Source organism: Homo sapiens, chromosome 8 (genome assembly GCF_000001405.40).
Source record: "Homo sapiens chromosome 8, GRCh38.p14 Primary Assembly".
NCBI lineage: Eukaryota > Metazoa > Chordata > Mammalia > Primates > Hominidae > Homo > Homo sapiens.
In genome coordinates, this window is record NC_000008.11 from 120535548 (window position 1) to 120560930 (window position 25383).

At 40.4% G+C, this 25383-nt stretch overlaps 1 protein-coding gene across 3 annotated transcripts in view, besides 1 other annotated feature; it reads right to left on the reverse strand.

Annotated features, from left to right (window-relative positions):
• Positions 1 to 208: 208 nt before the first annotated feature.
• SNTB1 (syntrophin beta 1) overlaps positions 209 to 25383 on the reverse strand; it is a 276291-nt gene continuing 251116 nt past the window's right edge. For all 3 annotated transcript variants that reach the window (NM_021021.4, XM_047422126.1, XM_047422127.1), the window contains exons 5-7: positions 13215 to 13411; positions 6263 to 6453; positions 209 to 3422 (exon numbers count right to left, since the gene is read on the reverse strand). In NM_021021.4, coding sequence (NP_066301.1) covers positions 3330 to 3422; positions 6263 to 6453; positions 13215 to 13411 — 481 coding nt within the window. In that variant the 3' untranslated portion in view covers positions 209 to 3329. The remainder of the gene's footprint in view (positions 3423 to 6262; positions 6454 to 13214; positions 13412 to 25383) is intronic.
• Positions 19536 to 20735: an enhancer, noted in NCBI's record as "CDK7 strongly-dependent group 2 enhancer chr8:121567323-121568522 (GRCh37/hg19 assembly coordinates)". NCBI's record gives its function as "activates an origin of replication core promoter dependent on BRD2, BRD4, P300/CBP, MED14 and CDK7 cofactors, with strong dependence on CDK7, by STARR-seq in HCT116 cells {active_cell/tissue: HCT116}" and the evidence as "EXISTENCE:reporter gene assay evidence [ECO:0000049][PMID:35650434]".

The following is a 25383-nucleotide window of genomic DNA, read 5'->3' on the forward strand; positions in this document are numbered from 1 at the left end:
TATATTTTTAAATGAGTTCAGAAAACCAAAAATAAGTGAACACACAAACATGTTGCTGGTGGCATCTCGTTTATCCATCAGCACTTCATGGAAGAGAATAGTAAGACTTGTCTTCATAGTCCCATGCTCTTCTATGAGTATTGTAAAACCACTGTCCAGGTCACCCTATTATATATTTAGAATATAATATAAACTTCTGCACTGGAAATCAGAGGTGAATATTTATTTAATTCATATATAAATTTTACATAATATTCATGGTGCTATAAATATAGGCACATTTTTTAAAAGTCCAGATACATCCAAAAATTACCCCCTCACTGTAGCCTACTCCAATCCCCTCAAGACGGAATATCTAACGTGTTTGGAAAACAGGGTCCAGAAAGGCCCTGCCCATTAATTTTAAAACTTTCTGACCATCAAGACCATTCTTTCCTGCTTCAACCAAGCAGAGTCAACAAGGATCATGTGTTTTCAGGGTTTTAATTGCACTAGTTGATGAATTAAGTAAATGCCTCTGCCTGGGTAGTTTGTAATAGGTTTATGGTTTGGTTTCTCCTACTTAGTTCAAGTCAGAGAAAGAAAAACCAATATCTATATTCCTATTGGCCTTCTTTAAATCCCTATGAGATGGCTTAAAAGGATGTCACTGCACCAGAGGACTCACTTAACCACATCTACTGACAAATAGGCAACTTCCCATAAAGTACAGATTAAAACATCATTCATTTATATTGGTTTTCATTTGGGGACAAACATTGTAAATTTAATAATTCATGGGATTGAGCACAGAGCAAATTGGACAAAAACAAATTCCTCAAAGTGACTCGGTTGATTCATTGACTGTACCCAAGCATGATCCAGACTTATGAGTTTGTGTCATACACACCAGCACACATCAGACAAGATTAAAATCTACAGTGTAAAGTCATTGTAACTTGAATTCAAAATAAGAAAGAAATGAGTATTGGAAATTGATTCATTAGAGCCTCTCTATTATGATACATTTTAACTTGGGGGAAAAATGATTCATATACACAATTATCTTAGTCAAATTTTCTATTTCTTGCTAATAACATTTTAATTTACTCTAGAAAATGCATTAATTTTATTCAAATATATTTTCCTAAAATATAAATAATTAAATTAAATGTTTATAAATGTAGAGAATGTAGTTTCCATTGACCCCCACACAGATATTAATCAGCCCAAAGCTTAAGTGATAAAGAAATCATATTTGTAATTATGATCATTTTAATTTGTCTATAAATATATAATAGAATCTTGGCAACTTAATTATGAGCAGTTAACTCATACTTCATGTAGAACCGAGCACCTTAGATTACATATTGTTGAATTTAACTATTGGCATTAATATATGTATTTTAATATGTTATTTACAATACACAATTATAATTCTCTTGTATAACAACATTCCAGTGATTTTGAAAATATATAGTGAAAGAGTGCAATATAATTTACAAATGCATCAAAGCTTTTCTATGGTATTCAAACTGGGACTTGACTTTTCAGCATTTGAAAATAGAAATAAACAAAAAGTCAATATCCTAAAGCTGTGTTTTCTAAAGCATTAAAAAAAAAAAACAAATAACAACAACAAAAAAACCCACTAGCTTCACAAGATGCTCCATTAGAAAAGAGTCCTGTAGGTAAGTGTGAGGAATGGTTCACCGGATTTCGCCTTGAAGAACCACAATGAACTTTAAAATCTTCAAGGAGGCAATCGTGAAATCTATTTAACATTTTTCAGCTCAGTATTTAGTAAAGTGTATTAACAAACCCCTGTCTCCCCCCAGCAAAACACCACTCAGTCAAGCCCCTTGGAACTAGCGTCATATGATATATTCTTTGGGGAAATGCTGATTTAAAATAAAACTTTGCAATTCAATAAACAAATATGTCTGAGTGAGAAAAATTGTGTTCCTTTAACACGGTTTCACTTTTTGAAGCTCTTTGCATGGGTATTTGTTAACATATGATTCTTTAAAAACACACAGGTCTAACAACAGATGTCTGTCTATGTAAACTACAGGAAAAGTGTTAGAAATGTTTATAGAGATCCTAGAGCTCATTTTCAAGGTTTGAGAAAAGTGACTTCAAAATCAATAGGTGTTATTTTTAGTGAATTTGTTTTGAAAGATAAAAGTAAAAGCATTAAATCAGTAATGTGCTATATAATGTCTGAAAATATTCCTGTAGAAAGATATCAGGTCGTTATATTATTTCCCTGGAATTCTGAAAGAACTGCAGATACTGTCAATAGATTTGATTATAGCATTCAGTCTATATGTAAAACCCAGCATTATCCAGAATTAAATGAGGCTGCTTTATTACTTGCTTGAAAATGCATGCATACAAGCACAGGCAAAAACAAGGGTCAGTAAGTTGCCACTGAAAACCATGAAATGGGGATAATTAGTTAACTCCAACAATGTGAGTTGTTTTATGTGTATATCAGATGACAATATTTTCTGAAAAAATACCCATAATTCACTCTCTATAAATAAAGCTGTAATTCTTGGCTATAAGACAGCAGACCTTGGTGTGAGTATAGTCCCAGAATTAATCATCCTTTGTGCATACAACTCTTTAGCAAAGCTTATCAATTTAAGCAGTCTACTTTGGCTCAGATTCTACCAGCTTACAGCTCAGATCAGTATCTGATGCTTTATTTAATTCCTGCTCAGTATATGCTAATGGAGACACTTTGGAATCATTCTACACCATTGAAAGATAATTCATTTTTTAAAAAGTAACAGCTGCTTCATACTTAAATAAAAGGTGGGTTTCTATTTGAAATATTTTTCTTTTCCTACAAGGGAAAGTCAACTCAGCAAGAATTAGGAAATAAATCACAATAAGAAAAGGGATCACTGTTACTGGGGATAGGGGGCTAGGAGGAGTAGGTAAGAATGTCCATTTCTCAACTATTCGGCCCTTGCGTACCTGGTGAACAAGTTGCCTAGGAACTGGGATGATTAAGATCTGCACATGCTGTTCTAATGGTCATGTCCTTGGTTGTCATTATTTCAAAGCTATGCTGTGTATTTCCCGTCACCTCACCTCTTTAACCTTGTACTGTTCTAGAAAGTTTTACTCTGATATTTCTCATGGTACTTTCGCAGGGTATCCCTTGTAGTTGCTGAAACTGACAGAGGAGTCTGGGACAGTTACATACGACTCTTGAGAGCTAAAGCTGACTGTAGCACGCTACATCTGGTGCGCTGCTCACTACAGATGGTGTCTGACATCACGTTCTCTGGTGGCATTGCAGCCCTTCTTTTCTCAAAGGCAAGTCACCCCTGTCTTCAGGCCACCAAGCCCAGTCTTGTAATCTTAGCTGACAGGAAGGAATGAATGATGAAAACAATTGGCTTGGGGCAGGAATGAAGGTCCAGTTGCTGAAATTTAAAAAGAAGAGAGCATGAGCGATTTTAAATTAATGCTTGATGTAGATGGGTGATTTGCACATCAAACGAATCTATATGCACTTCCTTCTTTTAAATGTTGACTGGAGCAATTATGCTCTAAAATCACTGCCCCTCAATGAGATAAAGGAACAACTCTTTGAACTTATTCCTTACATCTCATATATCTTTTTTCCGAAATAGTTCCTGTGAAATTTAGATATACCAACACCATAAATATTGATGTTGCCCTTCTTGACTGTCTAAGCCATTTATTTTTGGTACCACAATAGTGATATTTATTCATGTTGGATTTGACACAGTATGAAGCAGTACTAAATTTCACATCTGAAGATTAGGTTTGAATCCTGGTTCTGACGCTTTTTAGACGTACCATCTTGGATAAGTCTCTTAAAATTCTTCTCAGTCCTACTAATTCACAGAGTCATTAGAGGGTTAAAGGAGCTACTATATGTAAAACCTCCTCGTAAACTGTAAAACACAGAACGCATGCTAAGCAGCTGTGTTGTCACCATCCTCTAGTCTTGAACTGTTTAAGCACGTATGCCACATCTCTGGGAAGGCACCATCTGAAGTCTTATGCTTCTTGATGTGTTCCTTGAGAACCTGGCACATGCAAGACTTACAGTCTGAGCAGGAGAGTCCTTCAGAAGTTGAATTTTATCACCTGACCTAATTTAGGGAAATTGGGAGAGTTGTTCTCAATTCTCTTCTGCTGTCCCCAGTTTTGTTCTGATGATGACACTGTTGGAGAATCAGAACAACCCGAGCATATTATAGCTACCAAAGTTAAGGTGGTACTCATTATGAGCCAGGTACTGTACTAAATATCTTCTATCCACTATCTTATTTAATTCTCTCTTACAGCATCCCAATGAAGAAGCTATTGTTATTATCTCCATTTTTTTGTATAGGGAAACTAAGATTCAGGGAAGTTATGAAACTTTCTGAAATATAGATCTTACAGTAAATAAAAAGTGTGGACTCAAATGCAAGTCTGTCTAATGCCAGAGCCAGGGCTTAACCACAACATTCTATGTCACTAACACAGAAGGAAACTTTTGAAAAAGGGACATTAAAGATTAGCTACTTCAATCCGTGTATTTTATGGATGGGGAGACTGAGATAGAAAGAAACGAAAGGACTTCCCCAACAGAGTTGGTGAGTTTGTTGCAGACTCAGAAAGAGAACCCAGGTCTTGACCCTCAGTTTATTGCATTTCCTACAGCTCATCTCTGGTCCCTTCCCCCTCCACACTGGGAAGGTCTGTGGCCCACCTCCAGGATTGCTTAAACAGACATAGGGGGTAGAGGAGAAGGAGGCTGTGTCTGAATTTGAGCTCGTCAACTAAATGTACTGGCAGTAAAAATCAGTTCTTCCTAAATCTTCCAAGTCAGGCTGTAATTATAGGCAGAAAGGCTGAAATTTAGACATAAGTGATTTTCCTCATGGGCAAAAATAGCCTTGAATTTTTAAGCCAAGGATAAAGCAGGAGACTGATTCTTGTTCTTTTCCACTTTGCTAGAGAGTAGTCACCTTTAGGAAAAAGTACATGATGGGTGATTGATACAGCAGCAACTGAATTAGAAATAGTCTTAGTAAAATGGACTTTCGAGTCACTACTTTATTTCCAAGTGGATGCCTCACACTGAACCTACTGATTGAAACATACAAACAAAATTTGATAAAAATTCTGTAGATCCATTTTGAAAGTTAGAAAAATGCTTGGCTAGAAATAACTCTCAGAAAGTGAATGTCAGCAAACCAAGTGTCAGCCACGAGGAATGGCCTCCATCGTGGCTGCCTGTGGCGCTCATGGCAAGAAACCTGGTACTGTCTTGGTGCCAGAAGTATGGCATCATTTAGAAGAGTGGGGCTGCAATTCTGAGAGATAAAAAGTCCCTAGGGTCTGTTAGGTGTGTTCTGCCCTTTCCTTCCTGAAAGCCAACAAATCCATTGAGTAAGCCAGTGGCTAGGGAAGACCTAAACAGAGATTAGTCATTACGAAATCAAAGGCCTCTTTGAAGTTCTACATTTGACAGCTTAAATGAGATGCTATGTTTTCCTGAAATGCCAAGGATGACACTTGCTAGAGAGCATAAGAATGTGCAATTCTCACCCTTCTGTGCAAGTGAAGTCATATACTTTTTCATTATGGCAGGCAGAAACCATCTCAGGAAATTATGAATTTCAACACATGGACTACTTGCATTGAGACGAGACGTATGTTACTTTAACGGATAAATTTGCTAATTTTGTTGCATATTGTTTGACGTCAGTTCCATGCTTCTGTGCCCTCCTCTGGCCCTCTCTCCACTCCAGTGGAGTTGATCAGTTTCTTTTCATTTTCCTGCTGCCCTTTTGCTCTGCTCCTCATCTGGCCCCTCCTGTCTCTTTGCTCTCTGTCCTCTCCTCGGAGACTTCCCTGACGGTAGGGACCATGTCTTTTACTTTGCTGCATCCCTAACGTCTAGCACAATGCCAAGGTTATATGAGACGCTTGATACTTTTCAAAACTGCAGGGTACGTTTTTTAAGCTGGTGAGACCCTATTTGATAAGAATTTAATCTAACTTTGTAAAGGATTCTTTCCTTTGACTCAAATATTTATGTAGTCTTCTAATGGAAAATGAGACTGAAGAACAGAAGTTTGAAATAATTGAACCTAATCACCGTTTTTCAAGGATCAAATAAAACATGGGCTTGCAAGCACATCATTAGCAGTCAAATGCCGAATAAGAGTAAGGCAGCATTATGTTGCATAATGAAATATTAATATATGAAATCACACTGTCTAAAGAAAAGTACACTTACAATCTCTCCATCTTTGCCTCCAAAATCTAAATACAGCATCCTGATTCCATCATCTGAAGACATTTTGAGCTTTTCATAAGGAGACTGTATGATGGTCTTGGGAAAGGCACCCTCCTGTGGTTCAGTGGTAATAGAAAATCCATTCTCATAATGTATGGTCAAACGGCACTCCTGGTTTTTGTAGGTGCAAGCTGAGAGAGAAAGAGAGAGAAAAAGAGACAAGTATGAACCATGGCAATCAATCCATTTTCCCAATCACTCACTTCTTGCCTCCTCAGTCCCAGCGATCAGCTACGAATTTCTTGCTAAAATAAAAATATAGTCATTGTTCATGAAAATATTCTGTTTGGATTTATTTTGGTGTTGTAATTTTAAAAGCCCCATAGAACTAAGGAAAAATAATGGAAAGAAATTCCTTTTTCTAGGATCTACTGAATGTTATCTGGGTTCTAGTCCTTATCCAGCCATCTAACAACACACAGCTCTATAGGTGTACTTGCCTTCCAATGGCCCTGTGGGCCTTGTCTCAAGCCAGAAAAAACAGAACTTTGATTTAAATAAGGCCAGTGGGCATGCTGGCTCACACCTGTAATCCCAGCTTTTGGAGGCTGAGGTGGGCAGATCACTTGAGGTCAGGAGTTCGAGACCAGCCTGGCCAATATGGTGCAACCCCATCTCTACTAAAAATACAAATATTAGCCAGACATGGTGGTGTGTGCCTGTATTCCCAGCTACTCTGGAGGCTGAGGCAGGAGAATGGCTTGAACTTGGGAGGCAGAGGTTGCAGTGAGTCGAGATTGCTCCACTGTACTCCAGCCTGGGCGACAGAGCAAGACTCTGTCTCAAAAAAAATTTTTTTTTAAATAAATAAAGCCACCTTTGAATCACCAACCTTATCATCCACACACACACACACACACGCACACACACACAATTATATCTACCACTTGGTGAAAGAAGACAGCATACACCCATGACATCAAAATTAACTAACGTAAATACATAAGTCAGGAATGAGTAGTTTAAAAATAGTCTATTTTTTAATAGTATAAAAAATCTCTTTTTAGAAATTGAGAGGGGTGCTCTTTTAATTTTGCTGATGATTTTGGATCCTGGAAAAGCTGCTGTTGCTGACAGACCTCAGATGTGGCATCTTCCATGAGGAGCACCCTGAGTGCGGCATCCAGGAATCTCATGGGTGGTATCCACATGGTGCCCTCCCATCCAAAGAAACAAAGCAAAAACCTCTTGAGCAGGTGCGGTGCCAGCTTTTATCTGGGATTCTCACTATGTTTAGGAAAAGAGTCCTGCTCTTTAAGCTTATGAGCTGGGCAAGGGGACTGCCACAGCATCCTAATTCCTATTTAGGAAGACTTGTGAATGTTTAAAACTCTTGATCAAAGAGTTCTGAAAAAGGTTATTAAGGATCAGATTGGATTTTTTTGCTTCACAAAACACCACATTTAACAGACCTGACAAGTAAATTGGCTCAGGTTTTGATCTACATCTAAAAGTTATGTAGGGAAACCAGCACACTCACTGCTGGGGATGGGGCTTGGAGGCATAAGAGCAAGAGCTTTATTGATTCAGAACTTGCTGTACATCATCATTTACTCCACTCAGCTTTATAAACCACACACTTCTGAAGCTGGAACACGGCCCAATATTATAGGTGGAAAAAGGAAAGCTCAGAGAGGTGAACACATCACTACCCGGGTTGTTTGGCTTTCAAAATTCAAATTCTTTCCACTCTGTCCTGTGTCCCTTCTCATGCTCTGGCACTCAGGACAAGGAGGGATGTGGGGAGAGAGCTGGGCACAGAGTCGCTCAGCTTTCCTACCTCATGAATAATGACAGTAGGCGGGGAGGCCTCCAAAGTTTCCGGGAAGAAATAGAGATTTCTATTGTTCACAGAATGCGGTGGCTGTTAATCGAAGCTCTGATTAAAACATATGCCCCTTCTCCAGACTGACTTGCAGATATCTTTCGACTTGTAACTAGGGCTGATCTTTTCATCTAACAGGTCTATAACTCCTTCTGCGCACAGTCCCTGAACCCTGCCCTCCGCCAGCCCTCCCATTCAAGGATGTCTAAGGACAGTAGCATAGAGATTGTGCTGATAGCACTGCCTCCCTGTCTTGACCCCTCCATTTTTTTTTTTTTTGAGACAGGGGTCTACGCTATGTTACCCAGGTTGGTCTCAAACTTGGGGCTCAAAGGATCCTTCCGCCTCAGTCTCCTGAGTAGCTGGGATTACAGGCATGTGTCCCATGACTGACTCCATTTTGATACTCTTCATTTCTACAACCCGCAGACCATGTGGGTGAATGGGCTGTAAAAATGATGTTCTTTTCCCCAATGTTTAAATAAATGTTAAAGCTATACCTTCAGATATTCTGAATTAACTGATTGTGATTACTTTTAATTCTAGTTGACTTCAAATGGTATTTTTGGAGTATCTGACCTCAAATACTCTGGTTGACCTCAAATAGTATTTGGGGTATTTGTGATCCCATTCTACATAGGATGGAATCGGTTATCTGAATATGTTCTCAACCTATACAGAATAAATTGAATACATTATCAAGTTAATTGAAGCCCTGATTAAAACATAGACCTCTTTCCCCAACTCTCTGCAGGCATCTTTCAAATTATAACTGGATCACACTTTGGGTCATTTCCATACTTACTTCTCCACCACCCAGCTAGCTCACTTCACAGAATTATTTCCTATTCTCCACTGATTAGTCTATCAATAGCTCGTGTTTTCTTGTCAAAGCAGAGTTCAGCTTATTAGAGAAAGATTTTACAAAATTTGTAGAATGTAAATTAAGCCAAATCCCTTTGAGCATCTTCATTCTTTCCTACAACACTCCCCAAATGGTTGCACAGGGTCTGAACTTCTCTGTTATTACACATGTAACCTTATTAAACTTAGTATTCAGGTGGCTCAAGCTTCTTCCAACTCTCAAATTCAAAACTTTTTTTTTTTTTTTTTTTTTGCCATTCAGAGTAGGCATCAAAAATAAAAGCTTCCAAGATACTCCTACAAGACTTCAACAATGATGGGAAACATTTGAGGACACTAATTAGTTTCAGGATAATTACAAAAAGGCACTGATTATCTTGGATATGTTGCAATAGAAGTTCTGCAAAACATCTCATTTTTCATGATTGCATAAACAGAGGAAATTTGGAAAAACCCTACTACATGTTAACACATGCCACATCTTTCAGAATACTACTGGGTGGGACCAGATGCAGTGGCTCATGCCTGTAATCCCAGCACTTTGGGAGGCCGAGGTGGGTGGATCACTTGAGGTCAGGCGTTTGAGACCAGCGTGACCAACACGGTGAAACCCCATCTCTACTAAAAATACAAAAATTAGCCAGGCATGGTGGCAGGCATCTGTAATCCCAGCAACTCAGGAGGCTGAGGCAAGAGAATCCCTTGAACCTGGGAGGCGGAGGTTGCAGGGAGCCGAGATCATGCCATTGCACTCCAGCCTGGGCAACAAGAGTAAAACTCCGTTTCAAAACAAAAAAAGAGTACTCCTGGGTGACCAGGAAGTTGCACCCTGGCGTTATACGACTCAAAGAGTGTTCCCATGGGCCAGCAGCATCAGAACCACCTGGAATCTTGTTAAATGCAAATTCTCAGGCCCCACCCTAGAACTGCTGACTATGAATCTCTAGAGGTGGGACTGGGGGTTAGCAAATTGAGGCTTTTAAAAATGAAACAAAATAAAATTGTTATCATTGTTTCCAGTGCAGCTAAAGCTTGGAAGCATGGTTCTTAAGATGTCTTGTGGGAAATCCTGTTCCTCTAAAGCAGAGCCGTACAACAGGGCTTTCTACTGTGATGGAAATGTTCTAGATCTGTACTGTCCACTGCCCAGCGAAGTAGGCGTTAGGCCCATGTGGCTGCTGAACACTTAAAATGTGGCAAGCACGACTGAGGAACTAATTAAATTTTAATTAATTTAAATCACCACCTCTGATTAAAGCTAGCATATTGGGCAGCACAGGTCTAGGGATAATAATTACAAGAACAACAACTAATAATCGTACTTATTGACAACAACCCTGGGGTAGGTACTAGGTACTGTTATTCCTATTAAACCTATGAGGTAGGTCTTATTACTTTCTCCTTTTTGTAGATGAGGAAACTAACACATTCAGTAAGTGATTATGAAAGAAATAGAACTGGAATTTGAATCCAGGCCTATCTGACTTTAAAGCCCCTACTTGTGACTATAACTTTGTACTGCTTCCTCAGAGACAGAGAGAAATGAAAGAATAGGCAAGAAAGCATAATAGAAAAGGGAAAACAGCAACTATTATATGAAACTCAAAGTTAGATTTACTGGAAGACTTTTGTTGAGGGTACTAGCCACTATGACACCTGATGCCCTTTGATGAATGTCCGCAGGAGACCTGGAAGAGGTTGGCCTTAGAGCTCAGAACCAGAAAGAATTTGTCTTAGATTTCAGGATCAAGAACAATAACATTACAGACATTGTTAATTGTATAGTTTCCTGAGTGATGAAAAACACCGGGTTAAATATGGATGGAGTACAACTTAGCAAATGTGTAAGATTGCATGGTATGCGTTTACCTAGTAATGTTACCTAAGATTTGATATTACTTTTCCATTCTCTTTTTTTTGTTTTGTTTTGTTTTGAGATGCAGTCTCACTCTTTTCACTCAGTCTGGAGTGCAGTGGCATGATTTTGGCTCACTGCAACCTCTGCCTCCTGGGTTCAAGCGATTTTCCTGCCTCCCAAGTAGCTGGGATTACAGGCACATGCCACGGCACCTGGCTAATTTTTGTATTTTTAGTAGAGACGGGGTTTCACCATGTTGGCCGGGCTGATCTCGAACTCCTCACCTCAGCTGATCCATCCACCTCAGCCTCCCAAAGTGCTGGAATTACAGGCGTGAGCCACCACACCGGGTTTCCAGTCCCTTATTTAATCTTTGCCCAATTAAAAATTTTAAATTATCTATCTATATACCTATATATGTAAGTTTGGATGTCTATCATCATTTCTCTCTGTATGTTTTGGAGAGTGGCATGAAAGTTATTGATCACAGCAGCCTGAGCAGAACTGATTTTTGTTGGATCAGTGGCATAACTGTGGGAAGTTCCTTGTCTCTGTAGAAACTACAGTGGACAAAGAGTGGACTTCAGAGTGACACAACCTAGAGTTGAAGTCAGATCTGTCATTTATTAGTTGTGTGATCTCGTGCAAGTTATTTGACCTTTTTTGAGAATTTGCTTCCTGATTTGTCAGGTTGACAAGGGAAATGGAAGGATTGGATGAGATAGGCAAAGTATTGTGACACACATGGGGTACACACACAGTGCAATCAAAAGTTCTTCAAAACAATGAAACAATATTTACACCCATTATTCTATTCTACTTTATTTCATTTTTAAAATGCTGGTCTTGCCTGAATCAATTAATTGATTTTAGGACCCATAAAAAGTTTGTTTTTCAGGATGGGTGAGGTGGCTCATGCCTGTAATCCCAGCACTTTGGGAAGTCAAGGCACATAGATCACTTGAGGTCAGGAGTTCGAGACCAGCCTGGCCAACATGGTAAAACCCCATCTCTACTAAAAAATACAAAAATTAGCTGGGCATGGTGGCATGTGCCTGTAATTCCAGCTACTCAGGAGGCTGAGGCAGGAGAATTGCTTGAATCCGTGAGATGGAGGTCGCAGTGAGATCACGCTATTGTACTCCAGCCCAGGTGACAAGAGCAAAACACTGTCTCAAAAAAAAAAAAAAAAAAAAACAACTTTGTTTTTCAAAGTATGAAACTACTGACACATTAAATGACTGGCATATAGCAGGTCCTTAATACATACTGTACTATAGAAGGGTTCTTCCTTCTACACACATCTCCCATTTCTACCACCGACTTGCCCTTTCTAAGAGCTCTGTGTGAATGTGGCCTGTGCTCACTCAGCACTTCCATTCTGCCTCTGCCTCTTCATTCACACCAGGGCAGGGGCACTGGTCACTCTTCCCAGAACTGTCCCTTTGCTCCGCTTATCCCCAGCTCAATGCCTTTGGCTCCTGCTCTTTTTTACTGCCCTGGGTCTCTAGTTGATATAGTTTGGATGTTTTATCCCCTCCAAATCTCATGTTGAAATGTAATCCCCAGTATGGAGGTGGGGCTTGGTGGAAGGTGTTTGGGTCTTGGGGGCGGATCCTTCATGAATAGCTTGGTTCCCTCCTCCTTTCAGTAATGAGTGAGCCCTTGCTTTGAATTCATGAGAGACCTGGTTGTTTAAAATAGTGCGGCACTTTCCTCTCCTCTCTATCTCTCTCCCCTCTCCTATTGCCATGTGATATCCCATTTGCCTTCCATCATAATTGGAAGCTTCCTGAGGTCCTCACCAGAAGCAGATGCCAGGACCATGCTTCCTGTACAGTCTGCAGAACTGGGAGCCAAAGTAAACCTCTTTTCTTTATAAATTACCCAGCCTCAGGCATTTCTTTATAGCAGGCCTAAAAGACTCACACACCTGTTTTCTGATCAATCCTATTAACTGCCTAATATATTTCCAATAATTTTATTCTGTGATAGATTACTCGGAATCAGTTTCTGTTGTTTGTAACCAAGAGCACTACTCATTCATGCCTCAAAGTTCATTCCTCCAGGAAGCCACCCAGAGGTTACAGGTAGGAAAACTGTAACTGACTATCCAACTTACCAACTTTTCTTGAATGAAGGTAGGATAAGTCTTTCTATAATCAAAGCCTTAGGTTACATTTTAGTAGGGTATAGACCTCCTTAATTTAGAAGAATTTAAATTTGCTTCTGGAATTTTAACTATCCCCAGAGGCCAGTGATGAAAACTACTTTAAGGCCCCGGTGGAGTAGAGGGTTCATCTTCCCGTAACAATGTGTCCTTGGTAGCTCACTGCAGTACTCACCAGTGCTGATTTCAGCAATGAGTTCAGCAGAATTGTGGCAACCCTGTACTATGCTCCTTGTCCAGTGGGAGAGGTCCCTGCTGGTCTCTGCTCTGAAGAGATGTGTTTCAATCCCTTGCCTGGTACCAGTTCGCGTTGCAAAGGACAGATCCACACCAGCCTGGGGTGATCCCTTTCCTGGACCTGAATGGACCAGCCTGGAGAGAGAGAGAGAGAGACATCATCAAAATGGAGACTAGTTTATTCACCTGGCATATCACCTTGTATAAGACCCAAATTGGTGATCTGCTCTCATTTTTCTGGTCTGGAATCAAAGGGCTCCACTATACCCTGCTCTTCTGCCATCTCCTCTCCAATGAGGTTAAGATAGCACCCAAGAGCTGGGCATCTGGACAAATATGCAAGGGAGTTCAATAACATGACTTTAATTTGTGCAAATTCAACTATAAGAAAAATAAATAAATGTGACGGAGAAAAGAATTTAAATACTGTGTAAAATTCTCTCTGAATATTCCTTTCCTGAGCATCTATATGTCCCAGCACAAGCATGAAATAAGACTGAGAATCTATTATTTCCTGGGTTAGGCTTCACTCCCCTGTGTCTCTTGTAGTTTGAACATCTGGCTGCATTGAATGTACTTCTGGGTATGGAATTTTTCATGCACGTAGCCCCTAAATGCAAACAAACAAGCTGAAACTCAGTTGAAGCAATAGCCAGTGGTGTATCTGATAAAGCTCAAGGAAGAACTGGCAATGCTGGACTTCTTGAGAAGTGGTATGGAACTGCACTTTAGGGGAGATTTTCAAGAGAGATTTTTACCACACAAGATTTTCACACTGACTTTTGAACTTACACTCAGCATAAAATGTGACTTCCATAGTAAATATTTTCTGAAAGGCCAGACTTGAAAGAAGAAGAATCAAAGTGCTCTGAGGGCCACCTTCGGAGCAGGGGCTAGGTCCTACTTCTCATTCATTGCTTTTAAACACTGGGATCTTTCATGTCTCTCCTACTCCTCGATATCTCAATCTCCTTTTGGGAGAGACTTTTATATCAACCATTTGCAGGGTAGCATAAGTCTAATTTAGTAAATGTGACTTCTTTCTAGGGTATTTGCATTTTCAATCTTATCTTTTAATCCAGAAAGCAACACTTTACAATTTACTAGAGAAATGCCAGGTGTCTAAGCATATGGTGGATACAAGAGTTATTTTCTTAGGCAAAAGGCTTGTTACCCCTAGATAAAAATTGCACAGAGGAAATACAAAAGCTTATGTTCTCTTATAAACCTAAATACTGTAGGAACAAAATTATCAGTAGAATAAAGCATATTATTACCTGTTGAATTTCTGGCAACAAGCTTGTTGTATAACTTGGAGGAGCTTTCTTTTACTTACAAAGTTAAAATTAGGCAAGAGGGGCGGTTTGCAATGCCAACTCAAAGAAAAAGTGTATTTGAAAAGCCTTTAGGTTGGAAGAGTCATTAAAGATATGGAAGGCCAGGCATGGTGCCTCACACCTGTAATCCCAGCACTTTGGGAGGCCAAGGCGGGCAGATCACCTGAGGTCAGAAGTTTGAGACCAGCCTGGCCAACATGCGGAAACCCCGTCTCTACTAAAAATACAAAAATTAGCCTGGCATGGTGGCATGCACCTGTAGTCCCAGCTACTCGGCAGGCTGAAGCAGGAGAATGGCCTGAATCTGGGAGGCAGAGATTGCAGTGAGCTGAGATTGCACCACTGCACTCCAGCCTGGGCAACAGTGCGAGACTCTGTCTTTAAAAAAAAAAAAAAAAAAAAGAGAGATATGGAAGTTCTGTGAATCTCATTGAGAGTAGAGTCTAGGACAGTGTGAAGGGAAATGACTGCTGGCATGGGTGCCCACACAAGGGGATTTAACATGTAGAGATTAAGCTCAATTCATTCAGGAGGGAGGAGGGCATTTTATAATAAGTGAGCAAGAGTCACTGAGAAGCTGCTAGAGGATTCAAATGCAAGTGAGGCTAAAGAAAACAGAAAGCATTTCTCTGAAGCCTAGCATAGGCTTTAAAGGGAGTAAGGGTAAGGTAAAAATTCATTAAGAAAAGGTATCTACAAGGAGCAAAAATGTATACTGTGTTTTCTTATTTGCTCAAAAGTGTTTGTGTTTCAAAAAAAAGTTTTTAGACTTGAAAGTGTTTAAGCTTTAATTACTTTAAGAAATTAAATAGCTCGGCCAGGCGCGGTGGCTCACTCCTGTAATCCCAGCACTTTGGGAGGCCGAGGTGGATGTATCACGAGGTCAGGAGTTCAAGACAGCCTGGCCAAGATGGTGAAACCAACGTCTGTACTAAAAATACAAAAATTATCTGGACATGGTGGCACGCACCTGTAATTCCAGCTACTTGGGAGGCTGAGGCAGAAAACTGCTTGAACCTGGGAGGCGGAGGTTGCAGTGAGCCAAGATCGTGCCACTGCACTCCAGACTGGGTGACACAGTGAGACTCCATCTCAAAAAAAAAAAAAAAAAAGAAATTAAATAGGTCATGTGAGGTGCCATGGTGTAATGGTGAGCACTCTGTACTCTGAATCCAGAAATTAAATAGCTCACCCTGCCTTTTTAAAATTTTAACATCTGTATCAGTTGAGCACAGCTGTCAGACTGCATGTTAAACTGAAAAAGGACATGGTTTGGGAGGCATACAAAGCTGTATTAGAACCCCATTTTGTCTGACATTTGTTAAACTTTTTAAGAATCACTACTTCTTAAAAAGTAAGGTCGTGACCATCCTGGCTAACACAGTGAAACCCTATCTCTACTAAAAATGCAAAAAATCAGCTGGGCATGCTGGCATGTGCCTGTAATCCCAGCTACTTGGGAGGCTGAAGCAGGAGAATTGCTTGAACCCGGGAGGCAGAGGTTGCAGTGAGCCAAGATCGCACCACTGCACTCCAGCCTGAGCGACAGAGTGAGACTCCATCTCAAAAAAAAAAAAAAAAAAAAAAAAGTAAGGTTGTGTTGTGAAGATTAAACAACCAATGCACTGTACCTATCACAGAAACTAGCATATGGTTTGTGCTCCATTCTTACACCTACCCTTAGTTTCCTCATTTTAAAAATATAATACCTACCCCATAGGATTAGGATTAAATATAGTAAAATATACAGAGCACTTTGTTCAGTATTTAGTACATTATAGTCAGCATTCAATAAAAACTGGTTCCCTTCCTCCTTCCCTGGCCTAACATGCTCTCATTTTCCATACCCTAAATTTCCATCCAGAGGACATCAACTCTGTCACGATCCAGAGCCAGCATAAATATATTGTAGAGGCAGAAGCAAAGTGAGAAAAAGATATGCCACTCTCATGGAGAATCTTAGGAGTTTCTGTGAATTTCCTACCAATATTTATTTTTCTCCAGAGAGACTATAAAATTGAAGTAAATAATAACTGGGAAAATGCAATTTGTTAGAAAATACACATTTGGTAGCTCAGGGTATGAGGAATGGAATTACTAAGAGAAAGGAATGAGGTCTAAGAAAACCTGGAACCAAGCTGACCAATACCCTGAACAGGGAGAGCTTAATGGGGAAGTCCAGTGTGTTCGAGAAGTAATAATGAAGAAGGCTTTTATTTATTTATTTAGACAGAGTCACCCAGGCTGGAGTGCAGTGGTGTGATCTCAGCTCACTGCAACCTCCACCTCCTGGGTTCAAGCGATTCTCTGTCTCAGCCTCCCGAGTAGCTGGGATTACAGGTGTGCACCACCACACCCTGTTAATTTTTGTATTTTTAGTAGAGATGGGGTTTTGCCATGTTGGCCAGGCTGGTCTTGAACTCCTGCCTGCCTTGGCCTCCCAAAGTGCTGGGATTACAGGCATGAGCCGCTGCACCCGGCCAAAGGAAGCTTTTAGAGCAGCAGTGCCAATCTTTTTGGCACCAGGGACTGGTTTCCCCACCTTTTGGGATGAGATGGGGAATTGGGGATTGGTGGGAGATGGTTTTGGGATGATTCAAGCGCATTACATTTATTGTGCACTTTATTGCTATTATTATTACATTGTAATATATAATGAAATAATTATACAACTCACCATAATGTAGAATCAGTGGGAGCCCTGCGCTTGTTTTACTGCAACTAGATGGTCCCATCTGGGGGTGATGATGCCTTATGAGAATCATCAGGCATTAGATTCTCATAAGGAGCAATAGAGTTAGAACTCTTGCGAGAATCTAACGCTGCAGCTGATCTGACAGGAGGCAGAGCTCAGGCGGTAATGCGAGCAATGGGGAGCGCTGTAAATACAGATGAAGCTTTGCTTGCTAGCTGCTCACCTCCTGCTGTGCAGTCCCATTCCTAACAGGCCACAGACCGCTACAGGTCCATGGCCTGGGTCTTGGGGACTCCTGTTTTACAGGAAGGACTGTTGGTGTTCTGTATTATTCATCTCATCATAAAATTCTCATTGATTAATAAAAACAGAGAAGAGGAAAATTGATTTTTCAACTAACCAAGTGTAAATTCTCTAACATTTATATTAAAGAACCTTGATTTGCCATCTGAGGAACAGCAGACATGTTGAATTATGTGTCCTTTTGGATATGATGATATTGGCTTAATGAAACGTATAGTACTGTATGTAAACTCTGAGATAAAGCAAATTGTCTTTTCACTACCTGGTGGGTATGCTGTAATAAAAGGATACTTTTCCCAGATAAAACTCAAGTGAAATACATGAGCTATCTGCTGTATCCATGTGTGTGCATGTCCTCTGGATACAGCATTACACACCTTGAAATTATAAGTACTATGTGTAAATGTGGGAAAATGCATCTATATTCTGGAAAAGCTCTGTAAATGTAACTCAAGGATGTTAAAGAAAAGCTTGAAAACAAAACCATTAAAATGTAGAGCAATTTTATGGCTGATTTTATTTCTTCTTTTTAAAAAATTCTTAAAATTTTCTCTAAGAGGCTGGACAGGGTGGCTGAAGCATGTAATCTCAGCACTTTGGGAAGATGAGGCAGGTGGTCACGTGAAGTTAGGCGTTTGAGACCAGCCTGACTAATATGGTGAAACCACGTCTCTACTAAAAATATAAAACTTAGCCGGTTGTGGTGGCACGTGCCTGTAGTCCCAGCTACTCGGGAGGCTGAGGCAGGAGAATCGCTTGAACCCAGGAGGCAGAGGTTGCAGTGAGTTGAGATTGTGCCACTGGACTCCAGCCTGGGGAACAGAGCGAGACTCCGTCTCAAAGAAAAAAAAAATTCTATAAGAAACATATACATCAGGTCCTTAAATATTTTCATTCCATTCAACATCATTTTATTATGACATTAGTGAGAAAAGAAATCGATTCCCGGGGAGGTCCACTGCCTGTGTGGAGTTGGCACATTCTCCCCATGAGTGCCTGAGTTTTCTCTGGGATCTCCAGTTTCCTCCTGCATCCCAAAGATGTTCCCGTTCGGTGACAAGGCGTTTCTACATGGTCCTGGGGTAAGTGTGAATGTGGGTGTGAGCGTCTGTCTAGGGTTGGTTCCCGCTTTGTGCCCTGAGCTGCTGGGACAGGCTCCGTCTGGCCACCCTTGACTCTGAACTGGAATAAGTGAGTTGGAAAATGAGTGAAGAAATGCATACAAATTAGTATAAAAAATCATGACATCTACAATAATCATCCAGACGTAGGACAATGAGCGCTGACTGAAAGCGCTCAGCGAGCCTGCCTCATCTGTGATTGGTTTTGACCTGCGTGGTGGGCGGGGGGTGCTCCTTATAGTTTTCACTCGGCAAACATTAATTCTTTAATGAAACCACCACCACTACGACTGCTGTCACTGAGTCACCAAAAATTGGGTAAATAATTATTTTACTTGTTTTTATTCACCTTTCTTAAATGCATGAGAAACACATTTATTTCATTGTTTAATATTAGAAGTGTTTCGAGTCTAACACCTAATGCCCGCAGGCTATAGCTATGGAGTAGCCCTTCTCAGAATAAAGTTAACTGATCCACGTGGGATGAAACCTATACCTGTGGCCTCATTAATCCCTTACACTGACACACTGGCCTCCAGCAAAGCAGATAGCAAAGATGCTGAGACCCGCCAGTTGAAGTTATAGGATCTTTTTGGACTCAGGGGTACTCTCAGAGGTCACAGAGAAGCTTCTTGCTTTGTTCAAGTCCTTTCTCCCTTCCTTACAAAAGAACACCAAAAATCACTCGCTAATTCATTCATTCATTCAATCAATCAATAAAGATTTCTTCATTCACCAAGTGATATACTCAACAAATATTTATGGAGCACTGTTATGGACTGAATTGTGTCCTCATAAGATGCATATGTCAAAGCCCAATATGACAGTATTTGGAAATGGTGAAGTGGCTACCTTGCCTGGGGTATATCCCCGCCAGGAATATCCGGGGTTGTCCCGCGCCAGGAAAATTTAGAACACGGACATACACTAGGAGTTTAGGAGTGGAGGTTTAATAGGTAGAAGAGAAAGGGAAACAGCTTCTTCTATAGAGACAGGGGTCTCCGAGCAGAAAGGACCGGTTGGCAGCCAATGTGCTGAATTTTATAGTCCGGTTTGAGAAGGCGGTGTCTGATTTAGGCAGGACTCACAGATTGGTTCCATCAGGTATGACTTTTACATACTGCAGGGAAGGGCTGCTTGCCCTACCCTAATCTTCTTATGCAAATGGACTTTCCAGTTGATCTGTGCCATCTTGTCTGCTTCTTGCTGTACACGTGGCCGGCAGAGAAGGGAAGATAGAGCCGCCATCTTGAAAATGTCTAGTCCGTAGTTCCTGCCGGCATTCACCCCTGAAAGCTCCCAGCTTGCTTGTTTATGTCTGCAGTTCAACTTACAGGCTGCTCTTTGTTAGAAAATGATTTGGGGCAGCTTTTCATTAAAAAGAACAGCCTTACTGAGGACTCCCATGCCCTTGCTATCTGCCTAAATAATTCCTTCTTAACCCCTATAGCAATAGGACCTACAAGGAGGTAATAAAGGTTAACTGAGGGGGTCCTAAGAGTGGGGCATTAATCCAACGGAACCGTGTTCTTATAAGAAGAGGAAGAGAAGCCAAAAATCTCTCCCCCTCCCGTGCACTCACAGAGGAAAGACCACGTGAGGACACAGAAAGAGGGCAGCCATCCGCAAGCCAGGAAGACAGTCCTCACCAGAAATCAATCCTGACAGCACCGTGATCTTGGACTTCCAGCCTCCAGAACTGTGAAAACTAAATGTCTGTTGTTGGCACCACCCAGTCTGTGGTATTTTGTTATGGCCCCTCTAGTAGACTAATAAGCACCTACTCTACACAAACCCAAGTCTAGGTACGGTGTGAACAGAATAGGCATGGATTAAGCCTCAAGGAGACACAGCTTAAAAGGAGAAATACTGTCTCCCCTCCTAATTCCCATGGCCTGTTTACTCCAAGTTAAGCTCCAGTTTTGGGGAGACTCATTGCTGGATTATGGAAGAGAGTCGGAACCCGCTTCTGGTAGATGACAAGCAAAGAACATGAGCCTGGTAGGGTGGATGGGTGGAGAATTATTCCTCCTCACTGGAGCAACCCGATCATTATAAAGATCTTCCTCCAGAGAGGGAATCTGAACTTTCAGGAAAAGCAAAATGGAGATCAGTGATTATGGCACAAAGACAAAGAAGGAATCTCACATTTATCAACATATTTGTTATTTCATTCCTATTAAGGTGTTGGAAATAATAGATTTCACTTATTCTTTATATCATTCCCAATGAATTGCTTCTGATTATCAACAATAATAAGTTGGGGATGAAACATAGGAATGTGGACATTCATCACTATACTACCTTATAGTGACTGAACAGACAGCTGATTGCTGTACATATTATGGTATTGCAAAGATGAGTCAAGGCCATCAGACAAGATAAGATTAAGATCCTTTCTCTTTTGTTATGTGAGCCAGCAGGGCAATAGGAGTAGCGCCTCCAGAAAGAAATAGAGAAAACTAGTGGAATAATTCAATTTATAAATGCTCTGTGAAATCTTTCTCTTGAGATTAATTTGCATTGGCATATTACCAACTCCCAGCCAATAAATAATACTGGATATACAATGTTGGATACTGTCTATCTAACAGCCTGCTTACTGATCATCTCCACTCTGATGGCTCACAGGCATATTAGACTCCAGATAAGCTACAGTCATATTGCATAAGGCCTTTAAGATCTTAAGAACCCAATACTTGAGTTCTAAGTTAAGTAACACCAGGATTCCCAAAGGGCCATGTCTACTGCAAAGGAGAGGAAGTTTATACAGGGAGTCAAAACAGTATTCAAAAGAAATAGTCATTTAGATTGGAAATTGAGGGTCTATATACGGAAAGGTTTCCTAACAATGCCAAAGACAACATGAGTTTGTCTGGAAAAGAGAAGATTTTGTGTGAGGAATGGAAAAGAGGAAAGGGTAAGCATAAATGTTTGCATTATCTGTGGAAGTGTTCAAGCATGGGTTAGATATTGACTTCCCCAGGGATGTTAAGAATATTCTCCCCTCAAAAGCCCGTGTTTCCATCAAAGCCATCTCTGGACCTTGGCTAATCTAGGCGAGAAAACCATACTTGGAGCAGATGTCTTGCTTCTTGGAAGCCAAGATGAAGTAAGTGCCCTTCCAGCAAGTCTGAGGTTGCCTAAGCTGGCAGCCAACAGAGGTTCTTGGGTGCTTACTCTGTAGGGGTTGTTGCTTATGTATCAGAGTTGACAGCTCCTGGGTAAGAAGATAGATGTTGGGGAAAACAAACTTCTGTTGCCAGCAAAGTGATCTACTGGAGCTCAAGACCATTTGCCATCTGATCTCCTCTTTGATCTCTTTCTGGAGATAGGCATCCCTCCTCTGTATTCCCACACATCATTATCAATCCATTTACCTTACTGTTTCATAATCACCACCTGATCTCTCTTACTAGACCTTGCTGTCTTTCAGGGTAGGAGCCTGGTCTCCTCTCTCTTTAACTCCCTGGAATCTAGCACATGGTAGGTGTTCAATAAATGTTGGCTGGGTAACTGCATGAATACATGTTTTTCAAAAGGTTTTTAACATGTGAATTCAGTTTTGCAAAGGAAAGTATACACATACACAAACACACAACACAACACAATTCTGAAATATTCTGACATTCAGGGCCAGTGAATTGGCCTCCTAATGTGCTCTTTATTTGTAGATCATACTTGGAAACACATTACTGTAGCCAGATTCTGGGAACTAAATACCAAGTAAATGTCAGCTGGACATTGAGATTTCACAAATCGTCATTTGGACATTTGAAAAGGTAAGGCTAAAACCTGTCTGCCTGGCTTTTTCCCATTCTGCCAGGAACAGTCTTTTTACATTCCTTCCAAGATTCTTCCCAATGATCTGTCTTGATCTGCAGTCTCAGGGGGACTCTGAAATTGCTATTATTTATATTTCAATTAATTTACATTTTAAGCTATGTGTGTATCCTTAAAAATATGACCATCTGTCTCTTATATGTGGCAAGAACTATACTATAGTAACCAAGAAAATGCTGTCTCCCAAGAGAAGATAACTTTCTTACCCAGCCAGAAGAAAATACTGGCACCCTGGGACGGGGTTTGAAGCTGAATTTGAAGCTGAATTCACACCCAGTTTCTAAGTATTATCTGAAACTGCTTGAGAAACCCAAGGACATGCTTTGTTCTTCACAAAATTGATTAGTTACAAAATTCAGAAACACATTCCCATGGTTGGAAGCAAAGCTACAAATCCCAGAAAGATTTTACATTTCCTATTAGCCAGGGGTGTGAATAAGTGAAAAAATAAATAGGACCGTATAATATCAGAGAGGGGCAACAGAATGAAGCCATAGGTAGGAGGAGGTAAAGCAGAAATTCAGATACCTGGATTCAAATCCCAGCTCTACTACTCATTATGTGACCTTGGCAAGTTTCTTAAACTCTCCATGCCTTAGCTTCCTCAACTGCAAACTGGGGATAATAATATGGTCACCTCATGGTGGTGTTGTGAAAATTAAATAAATTAATAAATGAATATTGCATGGAGCAGTGTTTGGCACAGAATACATAGTAATAGTCATTATTGTCATTAGAACATAAGTTTGATCAAGGTAGAAATTTTTATTTGATTATTCCCTGCTGTATTCCTAGCACCTAGAACAGTTCTAGGCACATAGCAGGCACTCAGTATCTGTTAAATGAATGACTAAATGAATAACTAGAATATAAAGAGAACAATTTCCCAAGAAGTTTGTGATTAATGACTACTACATGACTCCTCTCCCACTCTCAGCCCTTCAACCAAACAAAGCAGTAACTAATGCTAAATCCAAAGAACTTGGGTTTATGTCCACTACATGCTAATTTCCAGATTAATTCAGCCCTGAAAAAAAGTGATCTTGAAAGGTAGCTGAGATTAGATGTTTTATGAGAACAGCCTAACATCCATTTCCTGCTTCTTCTTTTGAATCTATCTTTAGTGACTGGTGTTTTCGGTAGTAACTTGGTTGTTTAGGGAGGTAGAGTTACCTTCTTTTGGTCTGGGGGATAGAAGTTGCCTATTTTTTGAAAAAGTGAAAGTTGTTAAGATTTTACATTCATGGTCAGCATGGATCCAATTTGAAGACTTGTACATAAATGCGTCCCTAAGCAAGATAAAAATAATTTATAAAATGTCTTTAAATTACTTTAAATGCCCAATGTGATGAATTCCATGAGGCTTAAACTGGCTGCATGATAGGACCACTTGTGGGTCAAATCTTTATGACATTGGGGAACTCATTCCTGCAGGACATCAGGCCAAGTGTTTCTCTCTCCACTGACTACTGAGGTATCAGATTGCATATTGTTTCTGGATCTTCAAATATGCCCCCTTAGCCTGACTAGTTTTGAACAAAACAAAAAATCCCCAAAAACCTGTCTTTCAAGAAATGCTTTTGCATTAATTTAATTCTGGAGAAGTATCAGAGAATGTTGCATAAAATGTTCCATACAAAAGCATTATTATTAATATCCTTAATTAAAACACAAACAGTTACAGCACACAGATTCAGCCAAATTAGTAAAATTACATATTAGGTAACTGGGTTGCTAAGCAATATTACATCCTCATTTTACTTAATTGCTGTAATTAGCATCTCCCAGCAGATGCCACAATGCAAGCCACAAAAAAAAGAAAAAAAAAACAACTGGCCAGATTGCTTACATGGTTCTGGCGAGCTCAAATACTTTCATCCACTGGCCACCCCTAATGGAGTCTGGGCGTCAAGAGACCCTTCAGGAAAGAAATGAGGGTCAAAGAATCACTAACAAGTACCAAATTGTCAGGTGAGAGGGGTTTCCCAGGAACACTCTCTAACTCCCTGCATCATTTCCCCCAGCTAGGAGTAGCCAATCAATTGCCTCATTTATATCTTCTAACCTCCTTTCATCTGGGCCGGGTGCGGTGGCTCATGCGTGTAATCCCATCACTTTGGGAGGCCGAGTCAGGCAGATCACCTGAAGTCAGGAGTTCGAGACCAGCCTGGCCAACATGGCGAAACCCTGTCTCTACTAAAAATACAAAAATTAGTCAGGCTTGGTGGCGGGCACCTGTGATCTCAGCTACTCGGGAGGCTGAGGTAGGAGAATCGCTTGAACCCTGGAGGCAGAGGTTGCAGTGAGCCGAGATTGCGCCATTGCACTCCAGCCTGGGCGACAGAGCGAGACTTCGTCTCAAAATAAATAAATAAATAATAAATAAATAAATAAACTCCTTTAATCTGAATATGGTAGTGAAAGGCAAGATCCCATGTCTCAGAAAGTTGATATTGAGGGATATTGACTATAAGAAACGAACAACTTAGTACAGGTGAATAAGCAGCAAAACAGCTTGGAGTCAATTCCTGACTATTCAGTGGCATTATCCAGGTAGATTTCTGGAGACAAGTGACTGTCCTCCATACCTTTCTTTGTGCCCTTGTGACCTGCCACGACCATCTGCCAGTAGTATTATGGACAGAGAAAAGCGGATGTTCACCAGGTGAAAGGTTGTGTGGATGCATTATCTTGTTTAATTGCCGCAACGCTTCTTTGAAAGTGGTATTATGAGCTGCACTTTATAAACAAGGAATCCATGGTTCTATTGCAGTGAAATAACTGCTTAGGATCCCACAGTTAGTGTCG